Consider the following 19,551-nt stretch of genomic DNA (forward strand, 5'->3'; position numbering starts at 1 on the left):
TCTTGGATCTCCTCAGTTTTGGAGGCAGTCTAAAGTTATTTGGGATCAGGGTAAATGAATGAAATTTGATTAGAGAAAATGTTAATCACAAATATTCTATGGCTATGACATAGAAGGCTCATATTTATGATGAGGCCTCAAAGGCAATTTCAAAAGAAAATCCAAGAACATCCGCACTAAGAGCAGCTCTGATGGAATCAGGGTGGGGGCTGCGGGACCCCTGGGATGGAATCGGGGTGGGGGCTGCGGGACTCCTGGGATGGAAATGGCGTCTCTTGGAGGTTCAGGTGCAATTTTTTCTCAGTGCACTTCATGACACGATTGATAGAATGTCTGCAAGCTGTTGCCTTTGCTTTTTCCTGCGGTCTTCATTCTACCATCCAAATTCTTTTGTTTATTATTTTACATCACTTATATCAAGATTTTAAAATGCTGGCCAGGTGCGGTGGCTCACGCCTGTAATCCCAGCACTTTGGGAGGCCAAGGCAGGTGGATTACCTGAGATCAGGAGTTCAAGACCAGTGGCCAACATGGCGAAACAAAAATTAGCTGGGCATGGTGGCACCTGCCTGTAGTCCCAGCTACTTGGGAGACTGAAGTAGGAGAATTGCTTGAACCCGGGAGGCGGAGGCTGCAGTAAGCTGAGATCGTGCCACTGCACTCCAGCCTGGGTGACAGAGTGAGACACTGTCTCAAAAAAAAAAAAAAAAAAGATTTATAAATGCTTCAGTGTTTTCATTTGGCTCCCAGTCTTGTATTTATCCAAGTTGCCATCATTTGCCCGGAGCCCTATCAAACATTCCAGCAGGAAGCAGGTCTCCTGCACTGCCCATGAGGCACCACCTCCTGCAGGTTCCCAGGAACCCCTCGGGGGGCCCCCAGGGCCTTCCCTTTCAAAACCTGCTTCAAACTCCCCAGCCTCTCCTACACGCTGTCTGCGCCCCCAGGCCCTGCTGCCCCCCAACCCCCATGTTCGAGTCTGCAGCCCACAGAGTGTGTGCCTTGGGCCCTCCACCTAGTTTAATCTCCACCTGCTCTGCGCCCACCTCCCAGGGCATCTGCCTTCCAGAACAGCTGCCCATTTCAAATCCCCACTGAAACATCGCTCCCGCCTAGATGGCCCTGTCTCTCTCTTCTGTTACCATTGGTCGTTACCATTGTCTGTTACCATTCTTCTTAGCTCAAGGGGAACATAGGGAAAGACAATGCGTGCAAAACTTGTAGTGTGGCAATACAGGTCCAAACTGTCCTTGTCAGTGGCAGCAGGGAGCGCCCTTTCTCCCTCCGTTTATTCTTCTCTCTTTTTCCCTCCACCTCCCGGCATTTGTCTCTTTCCTCCCTCACTGGTCCCCCTTCAGTAATGGCTCCATTAATTAGATTTACAAATGAAAAAGGCCTATAAAGCATTGATTCTCCTCCTGAGATGCTTCCATCATGGTTGGAGGCCAGGTCCAAGTGATTCGCGTCACCAAAGAGGACAGGGCACTGTTCCCACCACTGACATTCGGGGGTCGGGGAGGCTGCGGGCCTGGGGTTGGTTGGGAAGCCTCAAGGAGGATGTTGCCTCCCAGGAGAGGAGCAGGCAGAAGGGGCAGAGAGCCCTTCCCACAGAGAGAATGGCAGCCCCTGTCACCTGGTGTCCAAAACAGTTGGAGGATGAAGAGCCATGCTGGGGCCGGGACACCGGTGTCTGCTCCTGATGCCATGTCTGTGTGTTTCAGCCCAACAGCAGCAACGACAACATCCAGTCCATCACCTCCGGGGACTGGGACGTGACCAAGATCCTAGCCTACGATGAGAAGGGGAATAAGATGTGAGTGAGAACCAGGGGCCTGCCCCATCTTACTGGCCAATGGGGCACATTTGTTATTTTTTGTCAATTACACTTATGGAGTACAGGAGCACAGGAGGCCTCCTCTTTCCTCCTCAGGCAGCATCACTGACTCCTAGTTTCTTCATGAAAATGTATAGTAGATTCCCGTCCCAACAGTCCGACTTCCAGAGCTGCGGCGTCCTGAGGACGCAATTAGGCTTGCAGCCAGCCCATGAAGGGAAGCACGCTAGCGGCAGTAGTAGGGGTAGTACTGATGTTGATTGAGTTTTTACTAGTCCAGGCTCTAAGCCAAGTGCTTTACAGACATTATCTCATTGAATACAACAGTTCCATGAGGTGAGTTTACTGCTTTCCCCATTTTAAAAATAAGTAAATGAAAACAAAAATAAGTAATTTGCTCCAGGTTATTCAGTTGGTAGCGGGTAGATTTGGCTCAGATGAGGGGAGCCCAGTTCGGAGGACTTTACCACCATACAATTTCACCTCCCTGCTCCTGGGGTAAAAGCCAAGGTTTCTGCATTGGGAGGTCTTAGGTGAAAATGAGTCAACAACTATTTATTGGGCCAGGCTATATGTCTGAACTTGTCTTAAATGTGCTCAGCTCCTTGCCCTTCAGAAGGTGAGTGATCTTGTAAAAGATTTCCACATCCACATTCAGGTGTGTGTCACCCCCAACCACAGTACCCTCTGGCCACGAAGCAGAGGCCAGTGCAGGGGGCACCCGGAGCCAGTGGAATCTGCACTGGTGTCCCTCAGCCCTTAGGTGTCTGGCCACCCCCTGCTCTGGTCACAGGTGTAGCTGGACCTGAACAGGGGAGCTACTCCCTGCAGGCCATGGGCGGCAGTCCCTGAGGAGTGTCCATAGAGGTAGTGCCAGGAATGTGAAGTGCAGACGTGCCTTGGAGCAAACTAACCCTGTGCACCTTGGTGATCTTTGCAGCTACTTCCTGAGCACGGAGGACCTGCCTCGGAGACGACAACTCTACAGGTAACTCCTGCTCCCCCTGCACACAGGGCTCTCCCCCTTAGGAGGGCATCCAGGCTTTGCAGAATTGCACCTTTTCAGCAGTTCGGAAAGGGCGGCAGCAAAGACAGACCCCACCACAGAGGAGTAGCTGTAGAGTCTGGAGAGAAGTAATGAAACTTGCAGAGGCCACCAAAGGGGTAGTTTTGAGACTTTTGAAGCTTTATTTTTCTGCTGTTGTTGACTTGGGTTTTCCCTGTCACCCACTTGCCTCTTTGGCTAACGGATGGACTTTAACCCGTCTTTCCTTTTCACTTCTATTCAATGTCACCTCGGAGGAATTCTGCCCCCCCTGCCCCACCACAGATTTTTTGTAGGGAGCAGAGTGTGATTTGGAAACAAACCCGTGGGTCAGCACGAGGAGGCCGGCCCTGCTGTCCGGCATTGTAGCTCACTGGCTTTGGGGAACTCTGCCCTGAGGAAGACAGGGAGCATGATCTCGAAGCTCCTCAGTTTGGAAGCAGTCTAAAGTTATTTGGGATCAGGGTAGGTAAATGAAATTTGATTAGAAAAAAAAGGTTAATCACAAATATTCTATAGCTATAAAGTAGAAGGCTAATATTTATGATGAGGCCCTAAAGGCAATTTCCCTTCTCAACAGCCCAACTGTGCGACTTTGGACAAGTTTCCAAATCTCAAAGAGGGCAGGGACCCTGTGTTCTGAACCCTGGAGGGGGACTGGTTTTTTTTCTAGGGCGTGTCCCTCTTCTACATTTAGTCCTGTCATCTGCCCAGTCACTGTTCTCACTAAAGGAGGCTTTGGGTTGTGAAGTGAGATTAGCCCTGGGCACTTTCTACCAGGGCCACAGAGGTGAGGAGGGGGTGTCTGCTGCCTCCCCCGTGCCTCTGCATGGGATGGCTGCAGCCAGTTACACCTAAAGGCACCTGGGCCGCTGAAGAGGATGTTGTTCAGGGGAGACCTGAGGCTTGAGGCCAGTGGCGCATTGTCTAAATGGTGCCAATGCCTGTTGCCCCCGCCCCACTGCTGGGACATTGGGAAGCCCCCCTGGTGAACGCAGCCTCCCTTCCCAGCCATCGGCCGCTATGCGGACAGGATGAGGTCAGCATGAGGGAGCCAGTCCGTGTAGATGTTCCATCGTCACCATGTGTCTACTAGGAAAATTGAAATACACATGTCACCAATTAATAAACATGAGAGGCTGCCTGTGGCCCCTGTCCTCTAAATTACAGAATGAGAAGGTTGTCTTCTCTCTCCCGTGAAATATCTTTGCTCCTGGAACAACAGACTTCATATTGAAACCTATGGTTAGAGGGGACCCTCCTGCGGCAAAATGTTCAGATAAGAACTTCTTCCAGGTAGATCCGGTATCTTAGGATCTTTCCATTTTAGGGAGCACATTTTAGGCCTTCTTGACTTGAAATGACACTTGACCACAGTGGTCCCAGGTAACATCTTCAAGCCAGTTCCCACTTGTGTAGCTCCGTTGAGTGGGAAGCGCGAGCTCTCGAGGTTTCACTCTGTCAGGGGATGTGGCTTTTGGAAGCTGCCAGAGTTCAATTCCACTGGTGCTGCTGGAGCCCCTGCCTGCTCACATGCCAGCGTTTGGAACCCAGATAATTTGAAGATATGTCACTCTGTCTACTGTTCTCAGATTGCTAGCCATCCACTCAGAGGGACAGGACACGTGCAGATAGAGTGCTAGATCATATAACACTGACAGCTCCATGCTCCTCACACCAGGCCACCTGCAGAGCCTGGAGAAGGCAGCATAGGTGACTGCCTTCCAGCCCTCCCACAAGCAAGGATGCTGAAAGCTCTTGAGAGTGGGAGGGACCCACCAGCAAAGGAAGGTGGAAATGGAGCTGGGTGGTCTCAGGGGCTCCAGCAGGGAGACAGAGGGAGAGGCCCGGGGGGTCTGTAGCAGGGCTCCGCAGATCACCCTCATGGGGAGAGCCCACCAGCTTGCGGCACCCAGCGTGGAGGGCAGCTCCTCTCCGCCCACATTCACACCTGCGTCCTTTGCTCTTCCAGTGCCAACACGGTGGGCAACTTCAACAGGCAGTGCCTCTCCTGTGACCTGGTTGAGAACTGCACCTACTTCAGCGCTTCCTTCAGCCATAGCATGGACTTCTTCCTGCTCAAGTGCGAAGGTCAGCTCCTGCCACCCCGTCAGGGCAAAGAGCCCTGGCAGGCACATTTGCAGGGAGGGGGTGGGCACACTTGCAGGGAGGGGGCAGCGGCTGTGGTGGGAGCACAGCGTATTCCAGAACAGGTGAGGATCCCGCCTACCTGATAACATTGCTTATGGTGCAAGATGACTGGACCCCCACAGAGCCTGGTGCAGTGGGGCTACTTTACGTTTCATACAGGTGTACAGCTTATCAGAGTGTTCTGTGCACACTGTGCCAGTAATCTCTCAGTTTGTCTCCCATTGTCCACAAAAAATAATAGTCCCATGAGCTAGGAAGGGCAAATATCCTACACAGTGATGAGCCAAAGCCATCAATCCATCAATAAAGATAGGAAAACAATTTCAAAGATTAACTTTTCAATCATATTTAAGGATGATTGAATATCACCAGGCACGGTGGCTCACGCTTGTAATCCCAGCGCTTTGGGAGGCCAAGGTGGGCAGATTCACCTGAGGTCAGGAGTTCGAGACCTGCCTGGCTAACATGGCGAAATCCCGTCTCTACTAAAAATACAAAAATTAGCCGGGCCTGGTGGTGAATGCCTGTAATCTCAGCTACTAGGGAGGCTGAGGCAGAAGAATTGCTTGAACCCAGGAGGTGGAGGTTGCAGTGAGCTGAGATCGCACCACTACACTCCAGCCTGGGCAACAGAGTGAGACTCCATCTCAAATGACTAGATAAGAAAAAAAGGATTGAGGTTATGTTAAAGAAGTCTCAGAAAAATATTTCCCTATGTCCCAATTCATTGATAATTTATCCCAAACTGCAAGAGTTTGATCACACCAACCAGCATACACAAAAGAGTAGGCCATGTTGCATATGGGATACAAAGGATATTTTTGCTGCTTGTCTGTATCTTGGAAAGATATGATATGAACCCATGGAAAGGTAAGTCATCCTAAATATGGTCGTAACAAAATATGATCTCCTGCGATGACCTCAAAGAATGAAAATATGCCACAGGCAGAGACTAAGATCAGGAGCAATTTGCTCCTCTGTCAGAGTTTCAATCCCCTAAGCCATAGGTGGAGAATGAATAACTTTTATCAGAGCAATGTCTTTGCTAGCCTTTGCTAGCTACTAGAGAGCTCATGACTTCATGACTTCGTTCTCTTTTTATCAGTGTCATCTAAAATCTTGAAAATCCGCAGAACAGGGACACTCAGCCTCTTGCTCAACACAAGCTCAGCCCCTGACATTCTTCTAAGACAGCAAGGAGACCACGGAGGGATGAGGGGGGTGCGACTGAAATATAACATTAGTGCCCCAGTCCCCGCAACGTTAATGGTACCAAATTCCTCTTTCCTGTGTGTCCCAAGAAGGAGGCCACCAAGTATCTGAAATCATAGAGTGCTGTAGGGGAAAGAACCTAAGATCTAACTGACCCACTTCATGTATCAGATGGCAAACCCTAAGCCAGAAGTTGAGTGGATTCCCTGACTCCCAATGAGCCAGTGACACAGAGAGGGCCAGCATCAAGGTCTCCCAGTTCCTAGCCCAGTGACATCTGTCTCCTAGGGCGGGATCTTCTTGAAATAAGAACTTGGGAAATTACAGGGATTGACGGGGCATAGGGATTGGGAAAATGTGGCAAGCAGACCCACTAGGAGCCAGAGAGTCTTTTGAGGAGCTACATAATCAGAATCCACAATCCTGTCTCAGAAGCAGGAGGCAGCTTCAGCACACAGGAGGTCATGATCAAACACAGAAGTGAAAAATTGAAGTAGATTTCAAGAAGAGTGCCCCAAGCAACAAAGGTTGAATGAGAAAGGTGACAGAGCCTCCATCGTGGAGATCCTGAGTCAGGGACAGAGGTCATTTGCCAGAGGGGCTTGGTCTGGCCTAGGCAGGAGGCAGAGCCTTTGGGATCTGAGGTCTGCACTGGTCAAGACAGCAACTTTATGGATTTGTATTTCCCAAATTCTTACTATAACCAGCAAGAAGGGTCTGGCTTCTCACCGTTCATGGAAAGAAGTCAAAATAATAATGAGTTGTGATATGAAGGAGTGATATTTCTTTATTACCTATGCCACCAAGGGGAAGAGCAGAAAGCAATTCCACTCTTCAATTTGTGGAGCAAATACAGGGTTTCTTTTTTTAAAAAAAAAAAAGAAGAAGAAGGGTTTGGAATGGGGAAGAGCTTGGGGGGTTAGGAGGTGCCAAGGAGTGTGACTGGCTGTGGTGGCCCCTCTTTAATTATTGTCCCATTTGATGAAGGAGCTGGCACCATTGTGGATCCCACCAGGTTATCAGTTAATCACAGTCAGCCTTGTAGTCACTCTTCAGCCATGAGCGGGTTTCATCCTTGAAGTAATCTTTTGTTAAAGAAAGAATTCTGGAGGTATCTGGGTCCTATCAGGAGCTGACTCCTGGAGGTTTTAAGGAAATACATGACCAGATAAGAAAGCATGGTGTGTGCTCCACAAGCATCCGGGTTAATAAATGTGCATAAGGCATGAGAGCATAGAATGGGAAAAGAAAGGGAGTGGAGGCGACAGCACATTCTGAGGCTGTGTTTCAAGATGAAAGGTAACACATACGCAGCTTGTCTCAAAGTTGTATCTTGAGACAGGGAGCAGACAGAAGAGGAGAGGAGAAAGAAAAAAAGTTTAAATCGTGGTTTGAGGCTGAGCTGCTCGGTCATATTCCTAACACATACTAACATCTGCTCCACATGGTGACCCTCCCAGAATCCAGAATCCAACAGCTTATTTGTTGTTGTTGTTGTTGTTTGAGATGGAGTCTTGCTCTGCCGCCCAGGCTGGAGTGCACTAGTGCCATCTCAGCTCACTGCAACCTCTGCCTCCCGGTTTCAAGCGATTCTCCTGCCTCAGCCTCCCAAGTAGCTGGGATTACATGGATACATAATTTTTGTATTTTTAGTAAAGACAGGGTTTTGCCATGTTGGCCAGGCTGGTCTCACACTCCTGGTCTCAAATGTTCCACCTGCCTTGGCCTCCCAAAGTGCTGGGATTACAGACAAAAGCCACCTCACCTGGCCCTTACTTAACAAACACTTTCGCTGCTTCCCTTTGGAGGTCACAGCTCCCTGCTAAGTTCAAGCTCAAGTTCAGTCTGGATGCCTCATTCTGACAACTGGAAGCCTTTTATGGTTCAGTTTCCATAAGCTGCAGCCCTGGGTTGAAATCCAAAAGGCTCTCCCAGGAGATCCATGGCCATGGATTTAGGCAGGGAAGTTCCAGTTCCCACATGGTGGATGTAAACATGGAGCCCGTGGTAGATAGAAACACAGCCTGGTGTTGGGAGGCTGCTTGGACAGAGTGTTAAAGTTTAGAGAGCACTATAGGGTGGCTCCTGTGCGGATTTCTAGTCTGCCACTGGCCTTCTGTCCCAAGGGAGATTCGTATTTCTTTTTATGTTTATGTATTTGCAAGGCTTGTGTTGTGGTCTGCAAATAGTTATTGTGAAGAGATGACTCCATAGTTGATACCTGGGAGGAAAACAGAAGCAAAGAACAAGTACAGCAACACAAGGTCAGACACACGACTGACCCAGCCCCCAGGTACAGCCACACTGGGTCACACACACATGACTGACCCGGACCCCAGGTACAGCCACACTGGGTCACACACACGACTGACCCAGTCCCCAAGTACAGCCACACTGGGTCACACACACACAACTAACCTGGCCCATTGGGCACCTCCACAATCTCACCTTCAGAAAGGATGGGATGCTCCTCCTGCCAATGCCTGGATCCCTATAATAATCAAACAGATTCCTAGAATTTGAAGATAGGAATAGATCTCAGAGCATCTAATCCAGTCTCCACCCTGCCTTTCTTTTGTTGATTCAGAAACTGAACTCTTAGTCATTATGAAATTATCACGCTAGGGTTTCCTGAATCATTTAAGATCTATTTAAATATTTAGCCTGTTGCCTCATCTTAAGGTAGACATAAACTAGCCCTCTTCTCTACAAAATTGCTCTTTAAAGTGTTTACATAATAAGCTATTTTCTGGCTAAAGTAACTTTTGAATGCCCAAATTAAACTCTCCCCATGGAGGTAACCAAAATCCCACTTATAAAAAGAGATTTTCTGAAAAGGTTTAAATTTACAAAGACAACAAAGTACATGGGGAGACAGGAGCAGCCAACTGTTTGAACCTGGAAGCAGTTACCAGTGATAACTGACCTGGCAGACCCTGAAGCTGAGCCTCGTCCTGCCATGGGGAAAGCTGAGCAGGCATTGGCGATGATTGCCTAAGGGATGAGAAGATCAATTGCTATGAAATCTTAAAGGAGAAAGTGATTATACCCATTTGGATTGCTTGGGGCATTTTGCTGGAGGAGAAGACTCAAGGAAGGTGTCAATGATGAGGTGGCATTTAAAACAAATGAGTAGGTAGGATTTGGAATGGGAAAAAGCAGTCCAAGTGGAAGGTACACCCTGAGAAAAAGCACAAGAAATGTTGTAAGATTATGCAATGGAATCTTTTGCAGCATGTGAATCAGGATCAAGTGAATACAAGCAACCTGATTTAATAAACAAAGATAATTTAAAATAATTTTATTTTTCTCCACGTTTCTCAGTAGATATTAAAATGGACCCAGATGTGTAGTCTAGAGCAACGTTTAGTCAATGCTCATGTCCTGTCCTGTTTCCTTCACACCCCAAGTTATTCTGAGAGATTCTTGGAAACCTGTGACAAAAATAACGTCTCCACTCCTAGCATTAGAGACTCTTGTTTTCTTCTCCTTCCCTCCTCCTGCAGCATTTTGTTATATAAATTAACTTAGTCTTCTAGTTGCAACCAGAACCAAAAAAATCCTCCTTTTTTAGGTTGAGGATAAATGTACTGGCAATGAGAGGCTTCTCTATGGTAAAATCTGTAAACATGCCCACATTCAAAGCTGTTCATCCCGTCACACAGGGAGGGAAGTGTAAGTAGTTCAGGTTGTCTGGGCATAGGAAGGGATGATCATCAAAGGATTTAACAACTAGGACAAGGTGGATACCAACCAGCCAAAAGACATGTCCCTGAGAGCAGATATAGGCTATCAAACCACATTAGGACATAAGGGCTGGGTATAAAATCATGAAATTATAACTGTTTCATATAGACTTCAACATTCTTCCTGCCTTTCTGTGGGCCTTCCATTAGGACAGTTTTTGGTAAGTTTAGCTGATATTGACCTATCCTGTAACTTATATTCAGTATTATAACTTATATTCAGCAATATAACTTTATTGTCTTAGTCCATTTGGGCTGCTATAGTGAAGTTCTATAGACTGTGTGGCTTATAAACAACAGAAAATTATTTCTCACAGTTCTGGAAGCTGGAAATCCAAGACCAGGGTACCAGCATGGTTGATTCTGGTAAGGGCCCTCTTCTGGGTCACAGATGACCAGTTTCTCCTTGTATCCTCATGTGGTGGGAAAGAGGGTGACAGAGCTCTCTGGGGCCTCATTATAAGTGCACTAATGCCATTCCCAAGGGTTCCACTCTTGGGACCTAATCACCTCTCAAAGGCCCCACCTCTTAATACCATCACGTTGGAGGTTAGGACTTAATGTATAAATGTGGGGGGGACATAAACACTCAGTCCATTGTAATCATAGCTGATTGTAGCTCATCAGTTGTTTGCAAACAGTATTTCTATTTCGTTAGTCCTTTGGCATACTGATCTTCTCCTAATGTTCAGTTTTTCTTCCACAGTGTATTTTGTCCAACATCATTATAGAGTTCCATCTAGCAGTATCAATGTGTGCTTTCTCTAATTTTTCATTAACATTTCTTCAGCGGCTTCTCAATATTTGACATTTGTATGCTTATATGTTTATGTTTTATGTTTATAATTCTTAATTCCTTAAAATTTTTTATTGTACATACAAACCTAAAAATTATTTTTAGGTTAATAATAATTACTATTAACTTAAATAATAATTATTTTAGGTTAATTCCTCAATTTTTTTTTTTTGAGACAGAGTCTCGCTCTGTTGCCCAGGCTAGAGTACAGTGGCATGATCTTGGCTCATTGCAAGCTCTGCCTCCTGGTTTCACGCCATTCTCCTGCCTCAGCCTCCTGAGTAGCTGGGACTACAGGTGCCCGCCACAATGCCCAGCTAATTTTTTTTTGTATTTTTATTAGAGACGGGTTTTCACTGTGTTAGCCAGGATGGTCTCAATCTCCTGACCTTGTGATCTGCCCACCTCGGCCTCCCAAAGTGCTGGGATTACAGGCATGAGCCACCGTGCCTGGCCAATTCCTTAATTTTTGATTGTACATACAAACCCATAAATTATTTTTCTACTTTGCACAGTTACATTAAAAATATATTCGAATACAATATATAAATAGAGGTTCAGAAATGCTTATAGCCACTATATCCACTCACTACCTCACTGGATCCCATCTCTGAGTGTCAATATTTATATCTAAAGGACATGGGTTTCAGATGACCCCTGGATACTTGTGCGAGGGATCAGCTGTAAGCCAAACTCAGTGGAACATTGTGGAAACTCACCTATCTATGTAATACAGAGAGTTTCTGTCCACCTCTCTATTGTCTGGAAGTGAAGCCAGCTATATTCTAAATATTGTATTATGATGTAACCTTTTATGATGATTTTCCAGAATATACCAAGCAGCTTTTGGCATACATACTTAATTGGTCTTCTCAATGACCCTGTGAAATGGGTAGTAAAAGAAATAATCTTCTATTTGTTAAGTTCTTTACAATTTGAAAAGCACATTTCTTTTTTTTTTTTTTTTTTTTGAGATGGAGTTTTGTTCTTGTCACCCAGGCTGGAGTGCAATGACACAATCTGGGCTCACTGCAACCTCCGCCTCCCAGGTTCAAGCAATTCTCCTGCCTCAGCCTCTTGAGTAGCTGGGATTACAAGCGCCAACCACCACACCCAGCTAATTTTTGTATTTTTAGTAGAGACGGGGTTTTGCAATGTTGGTTAGGTGGGTCTTGAGCTCTTGACCTCAGGTGATCCACCTGCCTCGGCCTCCCAAAGTACTGGGATTACAGGCTTTGAGCCACGGTGCCTGGCCTGAAAAGTACATTTCTAATTACATTATAACAGTTGATGACTATGTTCCCATTTCTGATTCCTTGAAATTTATATTCTAGCGTAAATATATCTACTTAGAATTCCCTAAACTCAATATCATTTTTCACATTTCCATGCTTTTGTCTTTGACTACCTGATAAACCCCTATACATTCTCCAAGACTTTCAGGGCAGGGTTGATTTTCATCCCCTTACAGGAGGGATGAATGAGAAGTCAGAGAACATGAAAGTGGCTGTGTATTCACCCGCAGACCAACGCCTGTGACAGGAACTCAGTCTTCAGCTGTCTTAGATGACTGGGGATGCCCAGGACAGGGGAAGGCTGGGTGGTCTCACCTTCTAGTCCTGGATAAACCCAATTCCATCTTTAAAGAAAAAAAGCACTCACCTCCTGGACTCATCTTCTAGGACAGCTAACAAATTACCGCAATCTGGATGGTTTAAACCAACAGAAATTTAGTCTCTCACAGTTCTGGAGGCCGGAAATCCAAAATCAAGCTGTTAGCCAGTGTGGTTTCTCTTGGAGGCTGTGAGGGAGAATCTGTTCCACGTTTCTCTCGAGCTTCTGGTGGTTGCCAGCAGTCCTTGGCATTTTTTGACTTACCAATGTATTGCTTTCATCTTTGCCTTCATCTTCATGTGGTCTTCCCCCTCTGTCTCTGCATCCAAATTTCCCACTTCTTATGTGGATGCCAATCATTGGATGAGGACCCACCTAATCCAGCGTAGCTTCATCTTAACTTGACTACACCTGCAAAGACCTCGTTTCCAAATAAGGTCACATTCACAGGAACCGAGGGTCAGGACTTCAGTGTAACTTTTGGGGGGACACCATTAATTAAACCCACAACACTTCCCTTCTAAGGACTGCATTGCCTTCTTATATAAGAAAGAAAGAGTGCTCAGCTTGTTCTTCTCAGGAACACAAAATTAAGGGCAGCCACACTAGACTGTGCCAGAGACAGTTCTTAATGGTTTCACTGCATTCTGGAAGCAGCAAGGGGGTCACTGAAGGAAGTAATGTGATACTACCATATCTTTGGATAGCAACTCTAGCATATTAGAGGAAGAAGAGCAGTTCCAGTATAGATTCTCTCTAGGAATACTTCTTCCCTGTCATAATGCAAAATTCACAGTCAAGTGGCATACAGCCATAACAAGTTCTGTAGGGTTTTCTCCTACCCATCTAAATTCAACCGCCAGAGCCACTGAACAACAGAATCGAAGTGCCCAATTTACATAATTTGTGTTTCACAGTCCTCGCCTCTGTTGAGAGAACTGGATTTTTCTCTTCAAAATGAATCTCAAGAGTATGATTTATTTTCCTTCAAGTTTTTGAAAACGACTCAATCAATCCTGTTTCTAAGAAATGTCCAAATGCCACCAGGAAAGTGAGTTCCGTGTATGAATTGGCCATTTGGTGCTTCCTACTGAAACATTTTTTGTATGTTTAAAAATAGCTAAATAAACTTCCTTCTCCTGAAGCCGAGGATGGAATTATTGCAGTCACTTGCTGCTCTGAGTGGGAACGGGACAGTCTGTGTTCATGAATCCCTTACAGCTCTGGGCTCTCACCCCCGCCCCTTTCAGTGTTGAGCCATGATTAGGGAGCTACTTTCCAGACTTTAAGAAGTTTGGTCTTAGACTTAGCAGATTGGTTTATCAAGACAGGCTTCTCCTTCTCCAAGTTGAGTGGAACCAAAGTATTATTACCTGAGCCTAAAATACAGTGACTCAAATCTGATAACTATTCTTCTTACTATTAAATATTCCCCAAGATCTTCTGTCATCACCATCATTGCCATCATTATCAAAATCACAGGAGATTGAAATGGCAGTAAGGGAGGTCTATGGAGTATGGAACCGTAGAGCTGGGTTCAAACCTGGACTCTGCCACCTACAGCTTCGCGACCTTGGGCATCTTGGTTAACCTTGCTTAATCCTCCACACCCTCATCCTGAAAATCGGAGGAATAACAGTATGGCAGTCCCCCCTTATCCACAGTTCTAGTTTTTGAGGTTTCAGTTACCTAGAGTCAACTATGCTCTGAAAATATTATAAACAATAAGATATTTTGAGAGAGAGAGACACCACATTCATAATAACTTTTATTACAGTATATTGTTATAATAGTTTGATTTCATTATTAGTTATTGTTCTCTTACTATGCCTAATTTATAAATGAAACTTTATAATTAGGTATGTAGGCACAGAAAAAACATTATATATATGGGGTTCAATACTATCATTGGTTTCAGACATCCACTGGGGTCTGGGAACATGTCCCTGGTGGATATGGGGCACCACTGTACCTGTCCTGTGAGGCTGTTTTGAAGATTAACCTAGATAGTGCATGTAGAGTACTTACCATGGCATCTGATACATAGTGAGTGTTTAATAATAAGTGTTAACTATCATAATTGTTTTCATCATTGTCATCACCTTAGTAATCAATTGAGTTTCTTACACATCCACTTGCTACCCACTCAGTATCCAAAAGTTGGGGCCAAGGCTGGGGGTGGCTGACGTGCATGAAGTCAATGAAGCAGCATCCCTTCCCACATGTTAGTGGGCACTCCAGCACCTCAGCAGGCTTAGGTTGGAACCCCTGGATCTTGCACTTACACTAGCAAATTCCAGAAGCGGCCATGGATGCCAGAGCCACAAAACATTAAATCAACTGTCAGGCATGGCAATGAGTACCTGGTGGCTTCCAGAGTGCATGTGTCCACCGTGGTCCTCACAGTTGGTTCCTGGCAGAAGTTAAGAAGTAAATTTCCAGCTTTCTTAGCACCTGCCCGTTCCTTCTGCTGTGACCTTTCCCCTCCATGCCTTCAGGTGCCCGGAGCTCCCAGATGCCCCTCCTACATCCTCTCGCTGCAAAACATAATTAACCAGGGGAAATGTCCACGAAGGTGCCATTAAGGTGTCCTGCAAATATGTATACTAAGGTGCTTGTTATTCTTCCCCAGGTTTTAGTCAGAGCAGTGAGTAAGGCAGGGATGAAAAACAGGAATCAGCCAACCAGCTCCACTTGTTGGGAAGGCACTGGCTGCAGTGCTATGGATGAGAAGGGTTCTGAGGCCAAGTGCAGGTTCAGCAGGAAAGAACATCATGAGTGATTAACGGATGATGTCATGAAAGTCGTAAGCGATTGATGGATGACGTCACAAAAGTCATGATGTCATTAACATCATGAGTGATTTATGATGTCATGAACATTATGAGTGATTGATATATGATGTCATGAACATCATGAGTGAGTGATTAATATGAGCAACTTCAAGAGTAATTGATGAATGATGTCATGAGGGTCATGAGTGATGATATAATGAAACATGAGTGAGTGACTAATGTCAGGCACATCATGAGTGATCGATGTTACGAATATCATGAGTGATCGATTGATGATGTCATGAACATCATGAGTGAATGATTAATGTCATAAATGTCACAAGTAACTGATGTCATGAATGTCCTGAGTGATTAATGACATGAGCATCATGAGTGATTGATGCCATGGATGTCATGAGTGATTGAAGGGTGATGTCATGAATGTCCTCAGTGATTGATGGATGATGTCATGAATGTCCTGAGTGATTAATGACATGAGCATCATGAGTGATTGATGGGTGATGTCATGAATGTCCTGAGTGATTGATGGATGATGTCATGAATGTCCTGATTGATTAGTGATGTGTGTCACCCACAGTCATGGGGGAGCAGGTGGCAGCCACATGCCATGCATCTATGATGTTTGGTGTAATCCCCTGAAATGAATGAACACCTCCACATGGTGAGACTTCAGATTCCATATTATCCAAGATGACATACATTTGGAAGTTTGAGATTTATCCTAAAACTCACCTTGTACTGCAGAATGAGGTGAAGGGGCTTATTTTTTTAAGGGCCTAGACTCCTGAAGCATTATGGCCAGCCAAAATAGAAGTGACAGCATGTCACTTCAGAGAAGAGAAAAGGGCATGCATGAAGAGACGCAGATTGAGACTCGGTTACCTGAAGGGATGGAAATGGCTGTCATGGAAACTCTCCTGAGGGAGGCTGTTGCCCAGGGTTTCTAACTGAAGGGCACCTCTTCTGTCATACATCTTTTGAATGAGGGAGAAGAAATCTCCAGATCCTTCCAGAGTGGCTCAGGGGTGATACTGATTCACACCCCTTCAGAGTGCTGGATCAACAGTGTAAGCAGGCATGCCCTTTGCATGATCCCAACATAGGAATTAAATATTCTACTGCTGGTCAAATTATTTGCTAATAACTCATGCCTAACCGTAAATGAGTAGTCCCAGAGCTAGAAAAATAATACATAGTTTGCGTCTTCATTGATAAAACTGTCTTATTAGCCTCAAACATGTAGGGTGCTATTGACTCCCAACAGCAAATTTGAAAACAAATGGTTTGGTTCTACAAACTAGTTAATCCTCTAGACATCTCTTATATCAAAATTTCCAAGAAATTTACCTCAGCTGCCCTTTTTAATTTTGAATTTATCCAAGTGAATGTTTAGAACCGGTTTGAAGCTCCTTGGAGCATTGCTGGTGTGTTTGTAAGAACATCTGTTCAGTCTCTCAAACATTTGGAGCCATTCCCTTTGAGGCTGCATGAACCAAGAACAAGGAAAGGGATTCTCAAGGCAGGTTATATTGTTAATGTAAGTGACATGAATACTCTGGAACATGTCACACTCTTCAGTAAATGCTACCAGACACCACGCAAACCACTCATATTCCTCCTCAGTAACAACCAAACAAACATCTTCCATGGAAAAGAAGCTTCTCACTTTGCCACTCAACACCTTTCCCATTCCTGGGCAGTGGCAGGTATGCTGAACCTGGTACGAGTGTGCCTTTCTACATCAGAGGCCATGTCCTGCAGTCTTTCATCTGAAATGTCCATTAAAAATAAATAATGGGCTGGGCATGGTGACTCACGCCTGTAATGCCAGCATTTTGGAAGGCCGAGGCAGACAAATCACCTGAGGTCAGGAATTCAAGACCAGCCTGGCCAATATGGTGAAACCCTGTCTCTACTAAAAATACAAAAATTAGCTGGACGTGATGGCACGTGCCTTTAATTCCAGCTACTCAGGAGGCTGAGACAGGAGAATCACTTGAACCCGGGAAGCAGAGGTTGCAGTGAGCTGAGATCATGCCATTGCCCTCCAGCGTGGGCAACAAGAGTGAAACTCTGTCTCAATAAATAAATAAATTAATTAATTAATTAATTCAACTCAATAAATAATGACTCTAGAATGTGTCCATTCCTTTTATCCTTGTTGCCCCAGCTCTGGGTAATAAAAGCCATTTTGTTACTGGTCAGTTTTCCTGTGAGATTTCCCACTAGCCAGTTCACCTTGCTTCTGCCTGAATATGACCAGATGGTATTTCCTAAAGAATATCTCTCTTCAAAATGGCTTCCAGAGCACATACATTTCTCTTTTTTCTAAGTAAAATGATAGAAGAAATAAAACAAAAACAAAAACAAAAACAATGCCACTGGGCCACTAGGAAGGGGCCCCAATGGACTAAAATGTTGAAGAATTTTTGTAAAGTAAACATAAATGGTTCACTGTTAAAGTGAAAGCCAGACACAAGGGAATGTAACATAATTGGCAAAAGACATGATTATAAAATGAAGACCAAAAAGAAGTTTGTTTTTTTAGAATTCTGAATTGTGGAGCACCTGTCAGAGTAGATGCTGCCGCCTCCCATTTTTGCCCCTAAGACAAAAGGAGACTTGGCCAGGGAGACTTCCAGAGTGGACGGTGGGGCTGGAAGGGGAGCTGTGCCGCAGGTGGCCACAAAGCCAAGGCCCCAAGCACTGCAAGAGGCCCCCTCATCCCTTCATCACTGCCCTGTCTCCACCTGGCATCAGAATCCGCATTCACGGAGGGAGTGGCTCTATGGCTGCTGAAGCCATGTGTCCACAGCCTGGGCCCCACCTGGACGAGAGTATAGCCAACAGGGCACCACTGCAGCACACGGGACACGCGAAAGGGAGGCCTCAGACCGAGCGCCTGGGAAGGAAATCCCTGGAGAAGCATTTTAAAGATCTTGTCCATCTGCTGCAGCCAGACCGACTGTAAATATCCTCCGAGAGATTCCAGAAGGCGTCACCTTTACCACACAGAGCGGTAAAGAGTGGGCTGCTGTGAAAATGAAGGAAGCTGACTGCTCAAGACTTACAATATTTACAAAACAAATTTTTGTAATTCAGAAGAAGAACTGAATAGGTAAAGTAGTCAAATACCCCAGTTGCCCCCAAAAGCCTGGATCACGCTGACGTAAATGAATACGGCTTCTTAATTATTTCTAGTGCTTCTTCCCTTCACTTCCTGAAGTGTTCTTGTTTGGTCAAAATTATGAACAGAACAACACCAGAAAGTGCCCTAGAAAATACAACCAAAAGGCTTCCCAGAGGACCCAAGAACTGGACAAAGATGAACATTCAAACACTTTTGAGAGCTATGAAAAATAGATCCAACGAATGTAATCTCTTGGTAGAGGCTTTAGAAGGAGAGATTGGGGAGAAGGAAGGGGGAAGAAATAAATCAAGATATGATGGAAAAAAACTTTCCCCATGCTTTTGAGTCGTTAGGGAAAAGAAACCTAATGAGTGTAATTCTAAGAATTTTGGAGAAGATCTAACGATACATACCTCCTAATAAAACTTGACAATTCAAGTTTAGAAATTATATAAGATTACAGGCAGGGCTCAGTGGCTCATACCTGTTAACTGAACCAACTAATTAAATATAGACTGGCCCCATGAAACGTGTTCTTCATGTTTACTGAAAGCATATTCTTAAGGCCGGTGTTGGGGATGCCCTTCTGGCTACTGTACTTCAAGATGTTCTCTGCAGAGGGTCATTTGGAATAAATTTTCCTCTGGTCTCAACACCAGGAATGGTTGAGCTTCTCATAACCTATCTAATGGGCTGTGAATTGTGTTTCCCTAAACTGTGTTGGCTGCTAGAGAGCTTAGCATGAAATGTGTGGCATATGTGGGTAGGTCTTTATAGCACACATTTTTAATCTTTTTCCTGATGTCTTTTCTTTTTTCTTTTTACATTGTTCTGATAGCCTCACTTACTCATTTTAAGCTTATTTTATTTTTATCTGTGCATTCATATCATCCTTATCTGCCTTCAGTCCTTTTTGCCACTAGATCCAACATGGATAGACAGATAATAGATGAGAGGGAAATGACTGACCGATTGATTGGCAGGTAGGAAAATTAAAGTACTCTTAGCCTAGCATTCAAGGCTGCATACAATCTGGCCACATCCTACTTATCCAGCCTCGTAATGACACTACTCCTCTATCAGAGCTTTCAAACACTTTTAGAGGCACAATCAGTTTTCAAATGAAATGTTAAGTGAATATATATATATATATTTTTTTTCTGTATATATATATATATATACACATATATATATATATACACATATATATATACACACACATATATAT

The 19,551-nt window shown here is 45.0% G+C and overlaps 1 protein-coding gene across 12 annotated transcripts in view; it reads left to right on the top strand.

Annotated features, from left to right (window-relative positions):
- DPP6 (dipeptidyl peptidase like 6) overlaps window positions 1-19,551 on the top strand; it is a 1,146,153-nt gene that overhangs the window by 1,054,010 nt on the left and 72,592 nt on the right. For all 12 annotated transcript variants that reach the window (NR_157195.2, NR_157196.2, XM_047419951.1 and 9 more), the window contains 3 exons: window positions 1,722-1,813; window positions 2,775-2,822; window positions 4,852-4,970. Coding sequence is in view for 10 of the 12 variants with exons in the window: in XM_047419951.1 (XP_047275907.1) it covers window positions 1,722-1,813; window positions 2,775-2,822; window positions 4,852-4,970 (259 nt within the window). In the remaining 2 variants the exon portion in view is untranslated. The remainder of the gene's footprint in view (window positions 1-1,721; window positions 1,814-2,774; window positions 2,823-4,851; window positions 4,971-19,551) is intronic.

This window comes from Homo sapiens, chromosome 7 (assembly GCF_000001405.40).
Source record: "Homo sapiens chromosome 7, GRCh38.p14 Primary Assembly".
Classification (NCBI taxonomy): Eukaryota; Metazoa; Chordata; class Mammalia; order Primates; family Hominidae; genus Homo; species Homo sapiens.